Source organism: Homo sapiens, chromosome 11, assembly GCF_000001405.40.
Source record: "Homo sapiens chromosome 11, GRCh38.p14 Primary Assembly".
NCBI lineage: Eukaryota > Metazoa > Chordata > Mammalia > Primates > Hominidae > Homo > Homo sapiens.
Window position 1 is genome coordinate 125,155,753 of NC_000011.10, and position 17,527 is coordinate 125,173,279.

A 17,527-nucleotide genomic window follows, 5' to 3' on the forward strand; every position below is an offset into this window, starting at 1 on the left:
TGTCAGTGTTTCCATGTGAACTTGTGGCTATGTTTCTGTGTGATTGTGTGTGTGACTGTGTCTGTGTGTCAGTGTGAACAGTCAGTGTGACTGTATTTCTATGTGATTGTATGACTGTGTGACCATGTGTCAGTGTCTCCAAGTGACCTCGTGACTGTGACTGTTTCTGTGTGACTGTTTGTGTGACTATGTGTCTGTTTCTGCATGACCATGTGTCATTGTGACTGTGTGTCTGTGTGATTGTGTGACTGTGTGACCATGTGTCAGTGTTTCCATGTGAACTTGTGACTGTTTCTGTGTGAACACGTGTCAGTGTGACTGTGTGTCTCTGTCCTACCTGTCCGTATGTGATGAGTGCATGCCATGCGTGTGTTTGCAGCTGCACACAGGTCCACAGGAGTCCAAGCAATAAGTAAGACCTTTCTGAGAGTCAGGGGGTTTACATTCTTGAGTGGGTGACCCAAGGGAAGCCATGACTTTGGCTTCTGTGAATAATTCAATGCTCTAAGCCTGGGGCTGAAGAGATGCCACGCAGCCAGGAGGAAAGGAACTGGGACCCTGTACATGGTCTTCTGTGCTTTCTGACCTTGCTCACACAAGGCAGAGAGGAGGTTGATATGTGGAGATTGTAAACAACTTGAAATTGCCATTCTTTCTAGGAGTCCCCACCCTTTGGGTTGGGGAGCCCCTCCCAGGAAAAAAAATTGTGGTGGGGATGGGGCCCAGAGCTGTGAGAACAGCGAGTCCCTGTACCCCCACCTGTGCAGAGGGAAGGCTGCGATGCATTGTCTGCCACTCTGGCAGGGTGCACATACCCTGGAGACAGCATTTTGGTTGTCGGGAAATTAGAGGCTTTGTTCAAAGCCAAGAAAAAAAAAATTGATGCCCAAATCCAGGAGCTGAAGAAAAGAGAATTCCAGGGCTGTGGTGCGGTTGTGTCTTTGTTGTGTCTTTTTCTTTTAGTGCTGCTGAAGCAATAACATGTAATGACCTGAGCGTCACTGCCTTTCTGCTGCCAGCTGCCTCCAGCGCCTGGGAAGTTGGCTGACCTGAGGAGAAGCCAAGGGTGGCTAATGAGTCATTAAGAGTCTTTATCAAATTAGGATTATAATCCATCTCAACATGCAGAGGAAAATGTTTCAAATTATCTACTTTCTTAATTGCAACTCAAAGATTTGGCAGGAAATTATCATGAGAGATAATGTCTGGAAATTGATGGATTGTGCTGATGTGTGTCTAAGCTTCCCTAACTCTAATAGCTGGAGAATTTATCCACACACACACACACACACACACACACACGTACATATGCTTACACTGACACTTTGTATACACAAACACCCCTGCTATCCGTACTGGTTCAAGTTACTACCCAGGCAGACACACACACACTCATGCACACACAGATTATGTCTGCATAGAAGGTCAAGAAATTTGCATTTATTAGTAATTTGAATAGGCTGAGATTGTTACCAGATGCTGAGAGACTGAGAGATTGGGAAGGAGAAGGTAGGATATAAAAGAAACACTAAATCCTTGCCTTCATGAAGTTCAAAAGCTGCTTGAACTAATGTATACGTACTCGAAATTTAAGAACACATACAAAGGATCATACAAATGTATACTACTATGATGGGAATGTGAACACATAAGCTCTGGGGATACAAGACATAGGTGTCCTGAATGAAGTAGTTTCTGGAGTGGATGAGTTTTGATTTGGGTGTGGACATTACTACTGGGTATTGTGAAAGTAGCCAATGGGAATAAAGGCAGAAAGAGACTTACTGAGTCTGTCAAAAGGACCACGCAGCCAAGCAGTGACACAACATATATGCAAAATCTCCGGAGACGGGTGAGGCTGGAAGACAAACCCTGATTTGTGTTGAGAATCCAAGTGGACTCTTACTTGACTGTTAAATCGGGAGAGATTTGAACACCCTTTCCATGTCCCTCCTACTAGGCCTCAGTTTCTCTGCTGTAAAATATGGGTGTGATCTGAAGGCAGAATTAGGCTTTTCCACATCTCTCATGGCCCCTGAAAACCTTAAAGATTTCTGGGAGTTCAGGGATTCTGATTTATTCGTCTTCATAGCCGAGTGCCTTCTATGTGCCTGGACAGCCTAGATGCTGAATGGGAACCAATGAGCTGGTAAGTTTCTTAGAGGCTATCAGTGTATGCATGCTGAATGAGTGAATCAGTGAATAAATGAATGGATGAGGGGGGCAAGGGAGTGAACGTTTATGCTTTATGAAGGAGCAATTCAGAATGGTGGTTTGGAGTGTGGGTTCTGATGGCAGCCTGTCTGAGTTCACACCTGGCGACAAGTTCCTTCACTTACCTAAGCCACATAGGGGTGCTGTGGAGATCTGATGAACAATGCATGTTCGGCACTCAGCATGGAGTCTGGCACCCAGCCAATAAGCAATACATATTAGCTATTATTATTGCTGTTGTTCCGTTTTGTTCTTCCTTGCTAAGTAAACCGTGGTCCCTATGCGAGGTAAGCTGGGGGTTTCTTGCTCCCTCATTTGGTCACTCTTCTTCACTGTCCCTTTCTAATGCAATAAGACGGGACCATCTTCTGCAGGGCATGTGGCCTTCACCCCTTCCCAGGGTTGTTGGTTGTTTCTCTGAGCCCTGCAGTCTGGCTGCCATGGGGCCCAGCTGCCAGAATACAGTTGGGAGCCCAGCCATGCAAAATCCTTAGCTCAGGAGGGCTTAGAGTTTGGATGCAGCATCAAAGGCAGCAAATGCTGATAGGGTTCCTCCCTGGGTACAGGGAGAAGAGGGTCCACTGGGTGAGCAGAAGGATGCAGATGGTTCTGTGTGAGGTGGTGGTGATGCGAGTGATGAGAATGGAGATGGTGCTGAAGGAGAGGATGATGGCAGCGGGAGTGACAGTTCTGATGGCGAGGAGGCTACTGAAAAGGAGATAGGAGACAAGGGGCTCAGGGATGGATCCTTCAGTCCAAATGGGAGAGGTGGTTTTTGTTTGGGGAGAATAATGCTTTCAAAACCCCATGTAACCCTGGGCAGGGGTTGTGGGCAGGGAGTTCTTAGCCACCTCTGCAGTCTGAGGGAGGCCCTGAATAGCCTAATGATCTCCTTTCATGCTGGTCCTCTGTGGGGTCGGCAGAAGCAGAAGAGATGGAAGAGCTGGAGAGCTGGAGTGATACATAATAAATAATAAAGGTTTCAGCATCCAAACATAGCTTCTACCAGAACAAAAATGAAGCCTGGAAGGGAGGCTTCAATAAATGGAATGCAAGTCGCATAGTAATTTTAAATTTGCTAGTGGCCACACTGAAAAAGTAAAAAGAAACAGGTGAAGATATTTTTAATGACCTATTATATTTTTATTTAACTCCATGTATCCACAATATTACTATTTTAATATGTAATACATATAAAATAATTATTAATGAAATGTTTCACATTCTTTTTTATAGATGAAATCTTCTAAATTTATTACACACACAGCCCATCACAGTTAGGACTAGCCACCTTTCAAGCGCTCAGGGCCTGCATGTGGCTAGTGGCTGCTGTAGTGGACAGCACAGGTTTAAATCCTTCTTTCTCAAATTTTTTTGGCCAAACTTTTGGGATGGCATTTCCCAGAAATGGCTCTTTTTGGAAATCGTCATAACATTCTCTCTTCTCTTCCTAAATATAGTCTAAATATTCTCTCTTCCAATCTCTCTCTTTCTCAGTTCTTTCAAGCTGGCTGTGATCCTTCCCACCCCTTGCTAGAACCTAGAAAGAACTTTGAAATTACTCAGAAATCTTCTTTTTCCTTTCCTGCCACCCACAGATCCTCTTATCTGGAGCTAAGGCCAGGACAGCTCCCACCTGAGAGCTGGTATCTGTGTGTCTTCTGTGTGTGTGTGTGTGTGTGTGTGTGTGTGTGTGTGTGTGTGTGGACTTGGGGTGGGGTGGGGAGATGCTTGGGATAAGTAAGGGATGGGGAGGAGACAGTGCTTGAAGAAACTTCCCTAAAGTGCATCAGTACCATAAAGAAGATGGGTTTTTAAAAAGCTTTGGGGATTATATTGCTCCTATATTAGAGGAGCTGGTTAAAGGCATGACCCAATTAATTGCCTATCGTGTGCCCAGAGGACAGGCTTCATCCCCCTGCTTCAGAGGGTGGGAGTGGGATGAGGGAGCTGAGAGGCTTTCCCAGGGTCAAAAAAAAAAAAAATCAGACATGGGCAAGGGGCCTGGACATCCCAGCTTTCAGCTCAGAGCAAAATCCTGGACCCGCACTCCCTTTTGGAGGATTTCTAGCATCTGAGTTTTTATACCTCTCAGGTCTCCCCTTGTCTGCCCACCCCTTTCTCCAAAGGATGTGCCCTTCCTGCGTTATTTCATCAGGAACGGAGTCTTCCTCACTTGGCCCTGGCTCCCCCCACCACAGCCCCACCTGGATCCAGGGTCAGGAAGGAGGCCTTAGGTAGAGAGAAGCGTCCCCCTGCCCTCATTTCCTTGCTCCCATTATCCGTGTTGCAGCCCTCAGGGCCTGTGGCAGCTTTCTCTGTAAACAATATCTCCCTTCCTCAGGCCAATTAAATAAGCACTATAATAAAGGCAAAGGCAAATGCAAAGCACTGGGCAGCCCTGTGTAAAGGGCTATTAAACCTAATGCTGCCATTCATTTATTGAAGAGCCTCCCATGTGCCAGGGACTGTGCTAAGCTCGTTAGATTTGTGATTTTATTTAATCCCCATGGTGTCATGAGTTGGATTCTATTATCATCCTCATTTCACAAACACAGAAACTGAGACTTGGCACTCACCAGTAATGTCCCAGATAGCTGGCCATTTCATTACAGGGTGGAGAGCTGAGCCAGGGCCTGGCGATCCCAGAGCTGGTGTTCTCTTTTGGGGGATCCAAGGATCCTTTGAAGAGAGGTGATGTTTCCATGAAAGCTTATAAGCAGATAGGATTCAGAAGGTAGGAAAAGGGGGAATGAAAACCCGGGGCTGAAGGAAGAGTGTGAGCAAGTACAGGAAGGGCCCAGAATCCAGAATGTACTCTGGGGCCCATGAGCTGGAGCAGGAGTGCTGGGTAGAATGGAAGTGCCCAAACCTCACAACTGCAGTGACTTTTAAAATACGGGCTCCAAGGCCTTTCTCCAGACTGATTTCTCTAGGGGTGGAACCTGGAACCCTGAATTATAAAGAAGTTCCCCGGGGGTTGGGGTGGGGGTTCTGATGCAGCAGGAAGCACTGGAAATCACTAGAAGGTGGAGTTGGGGAGGCGTTGGCAGGAATGGAGCAGATTAGCCTGAAAGGGGATCAGGGCCAGATGAGGACTAACATGAAGACCTTGCTAAGTAAGGAGTGTGGCATTCAAGGTCCTTCTTTTTATTATAAGGCCCAGTAACTTTTTAGGCTAAATCTTATAAGCAATGGAAAGCTACTGATGATTTTCAGGAGAAACCAAGGTGTGATCCAACCTTTGTTATAGGAAGAACATCCTTGTGCAAGTGTATAGGAGGGATTGGAGATACTGGAGGCATTGAGACCAGTTAAAAAATTATCAAAATATTCCAGGTGACTAGTGATAAGTCTGTCAACTAGGACTGGAACAATGATGTTTCATTCAGTTCAATCCAACAAGCATTTCTTTAATATGTTTTCTGGATTGGGCACTGGACCAGGTTTTAGGGATCCTAAGATGAAATAAGATATTGTCCCCATCCTCAGGGAACTCGCAATCTATCAATATTCATTAAAAATAATTAAGTTGAGAGTGAAGGGAACTGTAGTTGGGTGGTATTATGGACTAAATTGTGTCCGCCACCCCAATTAATATGTTGACACCCTAACCCCCAATGTGACCGTATATGAAGACAGGGCCTTTAGGGGGGTTAAGCGAGGTCATAAGGTTAGGCCGCAATCCAACAGGACTGTCCTTATAAGACGAGGGAGAGACCACCAGAGCTGTCTCTCTGCCTGTGTACACAGAGGAGAGGCCACGCGAGGGCACAGTGAGAAGGTGCCATCTACAAGCCAGGAGGAGAAGCCTCTCCAGAAACCAACTCTGCTGGCACGTTGATCTTGAACTTCCAGCCTCCACAACTGTAAGAAAATCAATGTCTCATGTTGAATCCATCCAGTGTGTGGCATTTTGTTGTGGCAGCTTGAGCAAACTAATACAGACAGGTCTTAAATTTTTATTCATATTGTGACATTGGCAGAATTCAGTTGGGCCATTGATCACCCACATTGGAAGATTGGAGGAGGCAGCCTGGGCTGGTGTGGGCTGCTTATACCACAGACAAAGTGCAGGTAGAGTGAGAAGAGGGCCCAGAACCAAACAGAAACTCCAAAATTTAGGAGTGATAACTAGGATTTGTAGAAACTTCTATTTGGTTATAATGTCAGTGTGTTGATGGCTTATGCAATACAACATGTACATTCCTCTCCATTCTCTTCTTCATCCTCAGAGGGATGATGGGGAAGAAATTGTAGAGTATCTGTAGTGAATTCTTAATTTCTACTCTATCCTTTCTCTACTCATTGACAGAGCCAAAACTGAGATGTGGAACTCATGGAATTTGACATATTGACAACTCATTTCTTCATTAAGTATTTACTAGCTTGTGTCTTCTGTTGATTCCTGTATTATTGCTACTTAATGTTTTACATATTGGCGCTTTGTCTTCTTCAACAAATGAATGCTTCTTGAGGACAGGAGCCATAACCTGAGCCTCTTTGCTTCTGCTCTTTATTCTTAGTGCTAGCACACAGCAGAGCTTCTGGTGGGTGCAGGGAAAATATTTGCCTTCAGTGATTATAAAAACGATGGTTATATTTTGGATAATCATTTTTTAAGCTCTTGCAAATGACAAAAATAGTCAAAGCAAGATATATTTACTTAAAACTACGATGTGCAGTTTAAAGCACCAAAAAGGTATTAGTGAAAATCATAGTATTTGAAGACTCCAAAAATTAATAGCTCATGGCAATGGATCTCCCATATCAGGAAAGTGTTGGGCATTGATCTAGATTTCAGAAAACGAGGGGTGTGACAGGTGTAAATCAGTGATCCAAGGCTGTTGCCTGCGGTCCTATTTATGGCTCACTGACACCTCTCTGATGGGGTGAATTCAGCCTGATTTTCCCCTCTGACTCTGCAGGCTGCAGCAACTCACTGGGAGCCATGGGAAAGAGAGAAACTCCTCCCTCCAGGGGTCCTGGGCAGAGACAAATGGATCTCCCCTCCCCCTCCCTTATCTGAAGAGGGCTTCCCTCTGAGAGTTTATGGCAGCCTGACCTCCAGCCTCTGGGTTGGAGAATCTGGCCGCTTCTGTACCACATAAAAAGGGCAAGTGCATTCATTATTATTATATTATTATACAATGTATAATATATAATAGCGATTATGCTGTCAGCAGCCAGAGACTCTGACTGCAGATCAGAGGCTAGGGTGACATAAATCCACCTAGTGAAGTTTTTGAAGGTTCTATGTGAAGGTGAGAGGATTCTAATCTGTCTATAATGGGGGCTACCACTGAAGAGTTTCTCCCACAAGCAACGTTGGTGGGTGGATTTGAGGGTATTGGGAGGATCTGGACAAACAGTAGTGTGTGTATCTGGGATGTGATATAAGAAGGGTCTCAATTGCCTCCCCTGAGCCAGGCAATGCTAACAGCTCTCATCCTTGCCCATGACGGAGGCGGGTGAGTGGCGACCCAGAGGCCTGAGAAGAGCTCAGGGGCAGCCTTCAACTTCTTGGGTCAGATTCTTTACTGAAAACCCAGAGGCTGGGTTTCACTTTCTGCTTTCCCGCTTTTGTCGGTGTCTTTGTCTGGGCTTCTTCCAGGCCCCCTGCCTGGCCTGGGGTCAGAGGATCAATGGCTGCCTGACTGGCTGAAAGGGCTCCTCTATGGGGAGCAAGAAGCAAACTTCCAGAGGCAGAAGGGGTTCTCTTGTCCCTTTATGCGGAGGGCCATGTGCTAAGTTGAGGAAGCAAGCAAGTGTGCTCCTGTGTGTGGCTCTTAGTAGGACTGTGATCTCTGCTGAGTGAATGGAGGCGCTTGTGGGTCTACACATGCCTGCTTTTGTCTTCCACTGTAGAGGGCATGTAAGGAGCCCATTTCCTCCCTGATGTAGATGAAGCCACCCCAGCAGGCCCAGGCTGAAACAGCCCAGCTGGTCTTTCCCTTTATATGACTGCACCCCAGCCCCCAGAACTCTGGGAACTCACTGAGTTTCTTGAGGACTTTTTATTAGAATGAAAATAGCAGTGGCTTAGAACAGGCTTGCCTGACATTTGCAAAGAAGTGCTTTACTGACAAAGCCTATCCACTCTTTCCTCTCTCCCTCTGCCCCACCTTGAACCAGACACCCCGGGAAGCCCACAGCAGAAAAAGCTCTTGAGACCAGGAATAACTAACCAGAGTGTCATCTGAACACCTTTTCTGGGGCCAGGGTAATGAGAATTATTCAAATGCAATCATAAAAATGAGGCCAGCCAGGCAGGAAAAGGGGGAGGGGGAGTGCTGGTGGAAGGAAGGATTTCTTGCCCGTTTTAAGTTTCATCATTTCTGGGGAGTTCTCTTGGGGTCCACAGAAAATCTCACCTCATCTCGGTCCCCTCAGCACCGGTGATATCTTGGAACTCGGCCCCGGTTGTTCGCTAAGGAGGACTTGGCTTGGGGGCGGGAGGGTGCTCCAGAGTTCCTGGGGGTCCACCGCACTCCCCATCCGAGGCTCCTCGCGAGCGGAGCCGCTTCTCCAGGCCGCCCGCCTCCCTGCCGCAGGAGCAGGCCCGCGCCCGCCGCCCGAGAGCCTCCGGTAGAGGGAGACACTCCAGCGGCTCCTCCGACTTGGCAGCGGCCGGGCCGGGAGTGGGTGGGGGTGATGGGGGGTGGGGAGAAAAGGGGGAGTGGGGAGAGGGGAGGTGTGTGAAGGGGGGGTCCGGGGGGCGGGTCCCTGTGCCGCTGACGTCCCGAGCAGTGCTGGGAAGTATAGGCTGTGTTGTCACGCCGGTGTCAGTCTGATGAAGATTGGCATCAGGTAAGCTGTCATTCATTTCCATGTCAGAGACGCTTTTGCAGGCGGCGGCGGCGGCGCGGCGGCGGCTGCTGCTGCGGGCGGCTGCCTCAGAGCGCGTGTGTTTTATTCCAGTCCCCAAGCCAGAGTATTATTCATTGCGACAGGGCAAGGAGGAGAGAGGGAGAGAGGGAGGCAGCAGGGAGGAGAGAGAGGGAGGCAGCAGGGAGGAGGGAGGCAGGGAGCAGCGAGGGACGGCGGGAGCGTGCAGAGAGAAGCTGGGGAAGCGCCGGGAGAGCGCGGAGCGGAGCAGCGCGAGGGGCGGCGAGGCCGGGCACGGAGGCTGCGAGAGCCCCGCGGGCCGCCCGCTCCCCTGCCCGGCCAGCGCTCAGCCCCGCCGCCGCCGCCGCCGCCGCCTCGCCGCGCTTGGGCCCGTGGCCGGCCGCGCATTGTCCTCGGGTGCAAGGAGCCGGGCTGCGGACTCGAATCGCCGCGGGCCCAACCCCGTAGCGGGCGGGCGGGGAGCTGTGCGCCAGGAGCGCCAGGGGACCCGAGAATAGGAACAGGCACGCCGGCCCGAGCCCGGGTGCAGAAGGCTCCCGGCCGGGCGCTCCGCGGGGAGAGGCTGGGAACCGCGGGCAGGCTCCAGGTTCTCTTTCTCCCGGCTTCGGGCGTCCTTGGGGCCGGCGCTTACTCCGCGCCACCAGCCTGGAGATGCTTTCCAGCGGCTGGAGGCGGGAGCGGTCCCAGGCTGGGGCCAGGTGACCGGAGGAGTCGAGGAGCCGCGGCCGCGGCCTGGGGAGGCAGGGCGAATGAGGGTTTGCAGACGGATCAGTGGAGACAGGGGAACACCGGCGGGGCCCGGGAAGCCAGGATCCGAGGGGCTACACGCACGGACCCTCACCCAGGGAGGAGCGAGAATGTGTAGGGTCACCGGCTTTCCATGATTGCTGGGGATCTTTGGTGAGGCGGGCGTAGGGGCCCGCGCGAGGCTTGGGAATCGGGAGCCCTTCTGGCTCGAGAACTAGGGGATGAGTTCGTAAAAGAGGGAACTGAAAGCGATCGAGAGCGGAGAGCTGAGGGGGATGGCGCAGGATCCCGAATCTGCCGCTCAAAGTTTGCATTTCTTTCGGGTTAGGAGACGGGCTTTCCTGGCTCCCGATCCCCAGGAAGAAACGAGCGAAATGGGCCGTCCTTTCCCGGGGCTCTTCACGGGGGAGCCGGGGGTTTCCGCGCGGTGGGGAGACTCGGGTTGGGAATTGAGGGGTAGGGGCTTGTGGATCGGCCTGAATTAGGGCTGGGTTTTAGGACCAGTCTAGAGTTCGGTTTATAGGATCCAGACTGTTTACGGAATCGGGATCGAGGGGCCGATAAGTAGTTTACACGCCGGCCAGAGCAGAGGGCTGGAGGTCGGAGTTGGGGGCTGGAGGAACGGGTGGCGTTTTTAGGATTCAGTAACAGGATCACAGCTTTTTCTTGTGGTGGAAGCTATTGGAATTTGGGGAGGGTAGCACGAGGGGTCCTGCAGCTCCGCGTGTGAAAAAGCGTTTAGGTAGGCGATGAAAGTAGTTGATCTGAGCCATGGCAGGCGAGCCCCGAATTTTTGCTGCTTCCCCCTGAAAGTGTTTCTTTAGGAGGAGAGGACTTGGGCCACACAGGACCCGGTCCTAAGAGAGCGATTCCGGGAAGCGGACAGATCGAAGAGACCTTCTGGGCGAAGCGGCAGGGCAGCCTCGCGGGGCTGGGAGTGGATCTGAGGTCCCGACCCAGGCGGCTCGGAGTGCTCCAGGAGCCACCTGGGTCTGCGGGCGCAGCGCGGCGGGGCGGGAGCGGTGGCCCGCAGGGGCCGCGGCCTGCGATGAAGGCCGGGGGGCAGCGCTAGCAGCGAGGTGCCACAGTGGGCCGAGGAGTCTGGGCTGTGGCCCAGGGTAGGACCGGCTCAAACTCCAGTGCCCTGATTGGAGCCGCTTCCTGTGCTTACCCGCGCCGGACTGAGAAGCCCACAAACCCGGCCTTTGGTGCGCCCGGGGGAGGAGGAAGCTTGGAGTGCCCTACTGTCATCTCTCCTGTCCGGAGACTTCAGGATATTAGCTTTTCGGGTTTCAAATGCTCTATAACCGGTGGCAGCCAAAAGCTTCGCATTTTAGGCAGTTTAGACGATCCTCCCCGCCCCAAATCTGAGAATGATGGTGTTCAAACATAACACGGTGTATTACCCAAAGCCCCTGCCCTTGCCCTCCTGCTCTCTCTGCCGTTCTGGCCTTCGGAGGCCCCAGGACCTTGGTGGAAGCGGGGAGGGAGGGTCCCGTTTCTGGTCTCATAATCTCCCACTCGGGCTGCATCCCCATAGCTTGGGCCTAGCTGTGGGGTGTGGGGTGGGAAGGGGTCCCGACCAGGGAGGTAGGTTATTCTCTGGGCATCTAGAGAAAGAGTGTGTGTGGGGGGTGGGAGCGGGGGGGAGGAGGGCATTGAGGGGAGGAAGATTTGAGATTTCCTCCTCTTAATATTAAACCCACCATCCCAGCCCCCTGCACCCCTGGCAGGGAGAGCCAGACAGCCCTTACAGGACACGGAAGACGCACGACCCACGACCCACGAGTGGCCTCGGCGGCCCGGGGCGCGGCGACTGCCGCCGCGGAGCTCCAAGGCTGTTGTTTTGTAGGCTTGGAATTCGTGAGAGCTCTCTCCCGCTGAGAGCCCGAGGGGGGAGGGAGCCGTGACCCCACGGAGACTCCCTGGTCACCGCCTCCCCTTTGTGAGCGGGAAAGGCTTGAAAGCCAAGAGAAAGAGAGGCTGCTCAGAATAAGGGGCAGGGGGTTACCGGAGGGAGATGGGCCCGACCACCGCTCACAGTAAAATGCCTCGTGCGAATTGCACTGAAGTATACCCAACTTGAGACTGGCTGTTTTATGATCCTCTCTGGGAGTTTACTGCTCTCTGCTTTTAAGTCTATAGATTGCTTTAAGTTAATGAAAGTGCTGCTTTCAAAAGGGGCTTTTATTGTGTGGCAGTGGCAAATCCAGTACCTCCCCTTTACTCTTCCAAAATGGGCCTGTTTAAAAAGAGGGAGCTTGCTGGATCCCACATGGCAGAGCTTGGGGGAGGGTGCCATGTGACAATGAGAATTAATAAAAGTTAATGTCCAAGTGATTCTGAAAGACGAGTTTGCTTCTTTTCCAGTCCGGTTTCATCTGTTCATTCTCGTGTTGCCTTTGGGCTTTCACTGAGTCTGCCTTTAAATGTTGCTTGGTGCCTCCCCAGCAGCCTCTCCCAGCATTGCTTTAGGTAGGCCTGACCCCTGTTCAGTTAAACCCAAACTGGATTTCAGGATTTCAGCCCAGCTGCCAATTCAAACTGCAACTAAAATATTTACTTGGGACTGGGGGAGGGGCTTTGCCTCGCGTTTAGTAAGATAAATGTGTTTAAATGCCTGGGAACCTTGAGAAGGAACAAGGCAGGCTGTTTTTCAGTGCTTTTTGCTTTTTCAATCTGTTTGGCACAAAAGGTGAGATGACAAGGTTTTTGACTAGGTCCTAACACAGAAACTGCAGTGGGCTCAGGCTGTGGCTTTGACCGCATGTCATAACCATTTAAACTGTGGTTAGTTGTTCAAAGCTCAAAGCTTCTCCAAGCTGGGTTTCATTAACTCTACACCAGTTGCCTGGAAGTTCAGTAGCAATAAATTGTATAAACACATTTGAAGTAAGTTAGTGATGAAATAAGTAGAATTACTGTCTTGTGAGTGGAGAATCCTGAATTCATGGAGTTCTAGCTTAACTGGAAACATACCTCCTCTCCCTTGGCCTTGAAGTTTATGGGTGCACCAGAGTGTGTGTTAAATTTCTTTCTGCCATGTCCATCTTCAACCTGGGCTGTAACTCATTAGAGACCAAGGCATGCCTAGAAAGCAAAACGGCTGGATTTTAAAGGGGTCTCTATTAGCTTGGTTTAGGAATCAAACCAAACCAATTGACCTGACTTCTTTACCTTCCGTGAATCCAACGTGCAACGTAAACAGCAGCAGAGCAGGGGAAAATTAGATGTTTAAATGTTAGAGGCTTAATAATACTGCGTTGTTAGCAATTGAATTTGTTTTTATTAAAGAAACAACCAATAAAATTTATAGGCTTCCAACATGTTGCAAGATTTCCTTGCTATTTATTTAGCTTCCCCCTCCCTACTTTCTGAAATTCTATCTCTAATCTCAGGCTTTTGTTCCCGATTTATTTAATCTGGAGCACATTTTCTAAATTAGTTCGAGGAGGGTGAGAAAGGCTGTTATGAGTTTTCCTTTTTCCTACGCTGTGTGGCACAAGGACTGCGATGCTGTAAGATATATATAAACGTGTGATGCAATTGCTGGAGGTGACGGCATGTGAAGCCAAGTGTCTGGATCAAACAAAACGCAGATCCGAGCATGGAGAGGGTGAAAACGATGCTGCAGAGGAAAAACTGAGGAAGTTCTAATGGAAAATGAAATCATCATGAACCACCGTTAGCCTGAGTCTAGCCAACACACCATGCTTTGTATAAAACACTTCACGTGAGATCCGTGACTTATTGAAGACTGAATTATACTGAGAAGCAGAATTTAGAGGGAGGAGCTCCACGGGCTGGGTTCTATCCAGGCAGCATGGCCAGGATTGTTGCGATGGGGATCTGCTAATTTAATTAAATCTAATACCTGGTGGGAAAGGGAGGAAGGAGGGAGGGAAGTGGTGGGCAGATAATCAAGGTTGGCAGGTCAGCATGCTGAGCTAGTGTTTAGGCTGAAATTTAGTGGCCTGGTCTCTTTTGACTCTGTTATTGCCAGGGCTGCATGACTCCAGTGGGTCATCTAGCTTCTGGGCCTTGGTTTCTTCATCTGTAAAGTGGAATGTATCACACACAGTTCTCACTAGGGTGAGATGATGGGCTTGGATCAAGCACAGGCTGCGCTCTGAGTAAAAAAAATGGGAGATAGAGGCTTCTCAGCAGCAAAGTCACATTCTTCGGTGTGTTTTCTTTCCTCGCCTGGCTCCAGGGCCTTCCCCACAACTCTCAGGAGTTCTTAGGCTATAGTAAAGGGGCTGAATTCCTGCCTTGCATTACATCCTAGAATTTGAAAGGCCTGCTGTGACTCCAAAAACCATCTACACTTTACCAAGAGGGGCAATTTTGGCTGAGTTGGGGGATCCAGCCCGCTTCTTCCAAATGGTGTTACCTGGAATAGCTGTCCTGTATCAGACGAATGCAGAATCTGACTTATCAGAAATGCAGCCCCTTCTCTTTATTCCACTGGGAAGGCAAGGCCTGAGCCCTGACTGGTGTGTGTGTGACATCTGGTCGGCTGAGGGGGTTGGGTGCTGGTCTGCAGCTAGCCACGGCCTGAACCTCTCTTAGCAGTCTCTGCTGGCAGATCAAAGCAGATTCTGGGCCAGAAAGCCCAAGAAGTTACACCCGGCACTTACACAAAACTGTGTGTGCGCTCGTAGACTCCTTCTGTTCCGGTGTCTGATTTGTAAAAGCTAGCTCTGATCCTGGAGACGCGGCTCTGGTGGAATGCTTGTCTTTAATACTCCCTAGTCTTTGGGGATTCCTTGGGGTAATTTTTCCTCCTCATTTCCTTCTCAGCCAATCACAGGCAACATCTTAGTCTCCATTTTGATTGGGGGTGGGAGACAGGGCTGGGGGTTGAGAGAGCAACAGTTGGAGGGCACAGTCTTTCTACCTGAACTCCAGGTTTTCCTCCCGTCCAGAACCCCCAGGAGAGAGGGAGAAGCAAGCCCGGGACAGCTCAGTTCATCTCACGCGGTCAAGCAGAGCTTGAGAAGAGCTTGCTGCAAATGCGTTGTCTTCAAGGGGATCTGCTGTTTGGCTTGGATGCCTCACTGCAGGCCCGGCCTGCCTGGGTTTCTAATTACAAGAAGGACGTTTCTGCTAAGACCTATCTCACTAAAAACACATCCCTGTGTGTAATAAGAAACCCTAAACCAGGCAGGATATTTTAAAACTGAAGCAATGAAGATTAGATTAAGTCTCCACCAAACAGCTTCGTTCTTGTATTATTTTTGGCTGGAATGTGGAGAAAAGCAGCTGGCCCTGGGGCCCAGAGCAGACTCTGGAGAGTTCGGATAGGGCCGGGGTGGGTGGGGTAACTGTTAGTTTTCTGCTTAGTAGGAACGTGGCCAATTTGAGTACGGCTCAGTCAAGGCAGTGGGGGTGCCCAGTGGGGGAGGGGGGAGGCTGGGGTGGAGGAGGAGCCAGATCCAGATGGGCCAGAAAGCGGCCACAGAAGCAGCAGGTCACAGGGCACTGAGGCTTGTAAATCCTCCACCTCATTAGGACGTAGTCTTTTGTGTTCAATTTACATCTCTACTCACATCGCCATCCCAAATCTAGTAGAGAGGGAACAAATAGTTGTTGAGGATTCTTGGAAATAGAACCCAGTAATCGGGCATCATGGGCAGGTGTCCTGCCTTGCTGGGGAGGGGCAGCATGGCATTCACCCATTCCCTTTGTTCTTCCATTCAGCAAATATTTATAGAGCATCTTCTGTGTCCCCGGCACAGTCCTAGGCATTGAGGAGACAGCAGCAAAAACAAAGCCAAGACATTGCCATGAAGCCTGTCCTCAAGGAGCTTGCTTGTGGTGGGGGCGGTGTTGAGTATGGGCTTTATTTAGCATCAGGCAAAACTTCATTTAGAGCCTAGCCCTGCTCTTTACCTGTCATATGGATCTAGACAAGTTGCTTAACATCTTCGATCCAGTTACCCCATTTGTAAATTGGGAAGTAAAAGCACATAGCTCACAGGACTGTTGAGGGGCATCTGTTAAGTCCCTAGCACGGTGTCTGGCACAGAGGAGAGGCTCAGTCATGGTTGACTCTCCTCTGTCATGTTATGTTGGAGCTGATGATCCAGTTGGAGGATTACCCCTTTCCCTTTCCTTTTGCTTCCCCAGAACCTGGCTTGGGCCCTTTTCCAGGTCACTGGCGTCTTCAACCAGCGTTGCACAAATAGCCAGTCAATGCTGTGGCCTGGTGCTGCCTGCTGTGCACAGCCCTGGCAGAGGCTGCAGTAGAAAACAGGTACACAGACCCTGAGGACACTTTGGGGATGAGGGGTGTCTGGGGTTAACAGTAGAGAGGGCACATACAATACACAGACCTGAGAGATGATGGACAGAGAGGTGACGTGGAAAAAGCCACCAACCAGGTGTTAACCACAGGAGACAACAGTGGGGCAGGATGTGGAGTGACCAGGACAGAGTGGAGTCACAGGGCAGACTTCTGGGAGGAAGGGAGCCTCTGCAGAGTGTTAGAGGAGGACTGGCTGAGCGGCTGGCCAGTGGGGGCATGAAACATGAGCCTCCTAGGTCATGGTGCTCTGCGCTGTCCTGGGGACTGCAAGGGAGCAGCCTGGACTAGAAGGAGGAGCTTAGCCCCCTCTACCTATCCCAGGTGGCCAGAAGTGGGCTGTCCCTGCCCCAGGAGCACCAGGTAAGGCCTTGTTGTTTGGGTCCAGTTTCCCTTACACACTGAGGGATTTCCGAGCAGACCTTTCCACGTTGGCTTCTCAATGGGTAGAACTTAGACCAATGAGTTGGTGCATGAGGCAAACAAATCACTTCACTCCTGGTTGCAACATGGCTTTCTTACCTAAGATCCCCTTTTTCCCTAAGCAGAGAGAGCAGAGACTATAGGCCCACATCCAGCCCTCTTCCATCTCAGGAACCATGAAGCTGATTGATATCAGGGTGATCGGGATGGTGGAGAGAAAGGGGGGACTGGTAGTCTGAGCATGGTGGATTCCACTGTGGACTCAGCCACTGACTGACTGTGTGACCTTCAACAAGGGACTTACCTTCTCTGGATGTCAGTGTCCTCACTTATCCAATGAGGAGCTTGAACTTGCTCTCAGAGGTCCCCTTCTACTCAAAGTTCCATGATTCCATATTTCCTCCCAATTGGATTGCTTCGTGGCTTTGTGGCTAGGCAATCATTAAAACCACCGCCACCGCCACAAATCCGAGCAAAGAATCATGATGACATTCAACAGACTGCAGGGGCTTGGCCCCTGTGGTATAGAGTCTTAAGGACAGTGGGGGCCTAGGGGTTGGTTCTGACCCTTCTGATGGCCTGCCTGGGACAAATGGATGTTCCTAGCGATAGGGGATGGCTCCATGAGGCAGCAATTTCAGTCTGAAAACTCACTGGCTTCTTCATAAAAAGCAGCATTTACTTTTCTTGTTGAGACAGCGTGGGGCTAGGGGAAGGAACACAGGCTTTGGAGTCAGATTCTGGGTTCTGACCCTGGTTCTACTACAGCTAAGCAGTGTGCACATCACTTAACCCCTCTGAGCCTCCGTTTTCTTGGCTTTATAGGTGAGGATAATAATACTACCAAGCATATTTAAGACTGCTGTGAAAACTCTGGAAGAAAACATCTGTAAGTGGTTGGCACATGGCAAGCTCATGTTGAATAAATATTAGTCTTCTGTCCTAATAAAGCTCATTCTCACATGCCCTTGTGTGATCCTCTTAGCC

General features: G+C 50.2%; 1 protein-coding gene and 1 long non-coding RNA gene across 29 annotated transcripts in view, besides 1 other annotated feature; one reads left to right on the forward strand and one right to left on the reverse strand.

Annotated features, from left to right (window-relative positions):
- Positions 1-2,708: 2,708 nt before the first annotated feature.
- On the reverse strand, positions 2,709-8,857 carry PKNOX2-DT (PKNOX2 divergent transcript). The gene is made up of 3 exons (NR_125759.1): positions 8,589-8,857; positions 4,794-4,896; positions 2,709-2,922 (listed from the first exon to the last, which is right to left on the reverse strand). It is a non-coding gene; the product is annotated as a PKNOX2 divergent transcript (long non-coding RNA).
- Positions 8,712-8,861: a silencer, noted in NCBI's record as "silent region_4039". NCBI's record gives its function as "represses an Ori minimal core promoter by ATAC-STARR-seq in GM12878 lymphoblastoid cells {active_cell/tissue: GM12878}" and the evidence as "EXISTENCE:reporter gene assay evidence [ECO:0000049][PMID:35858748]".
- PKNOX2 (PBX/knotted 1 homeobox 2) overlaps positions 8,999-17,527 on the forward strand; it is a 268,639-nt gene continuing 260,110 nt past the window's right edge. For all 28 annotated transcript variants that reach the window (NR_168082.1, NR_168078.1, NR_168083.1 and 25 more), the window contains exon 1: positions 8,999-9,024. The gene's annotated coding sequence lies outside the window, so the exon portion shown is untranslated. The remainder of the gene's footprint in view (positions 9,025-17,527) is intronic.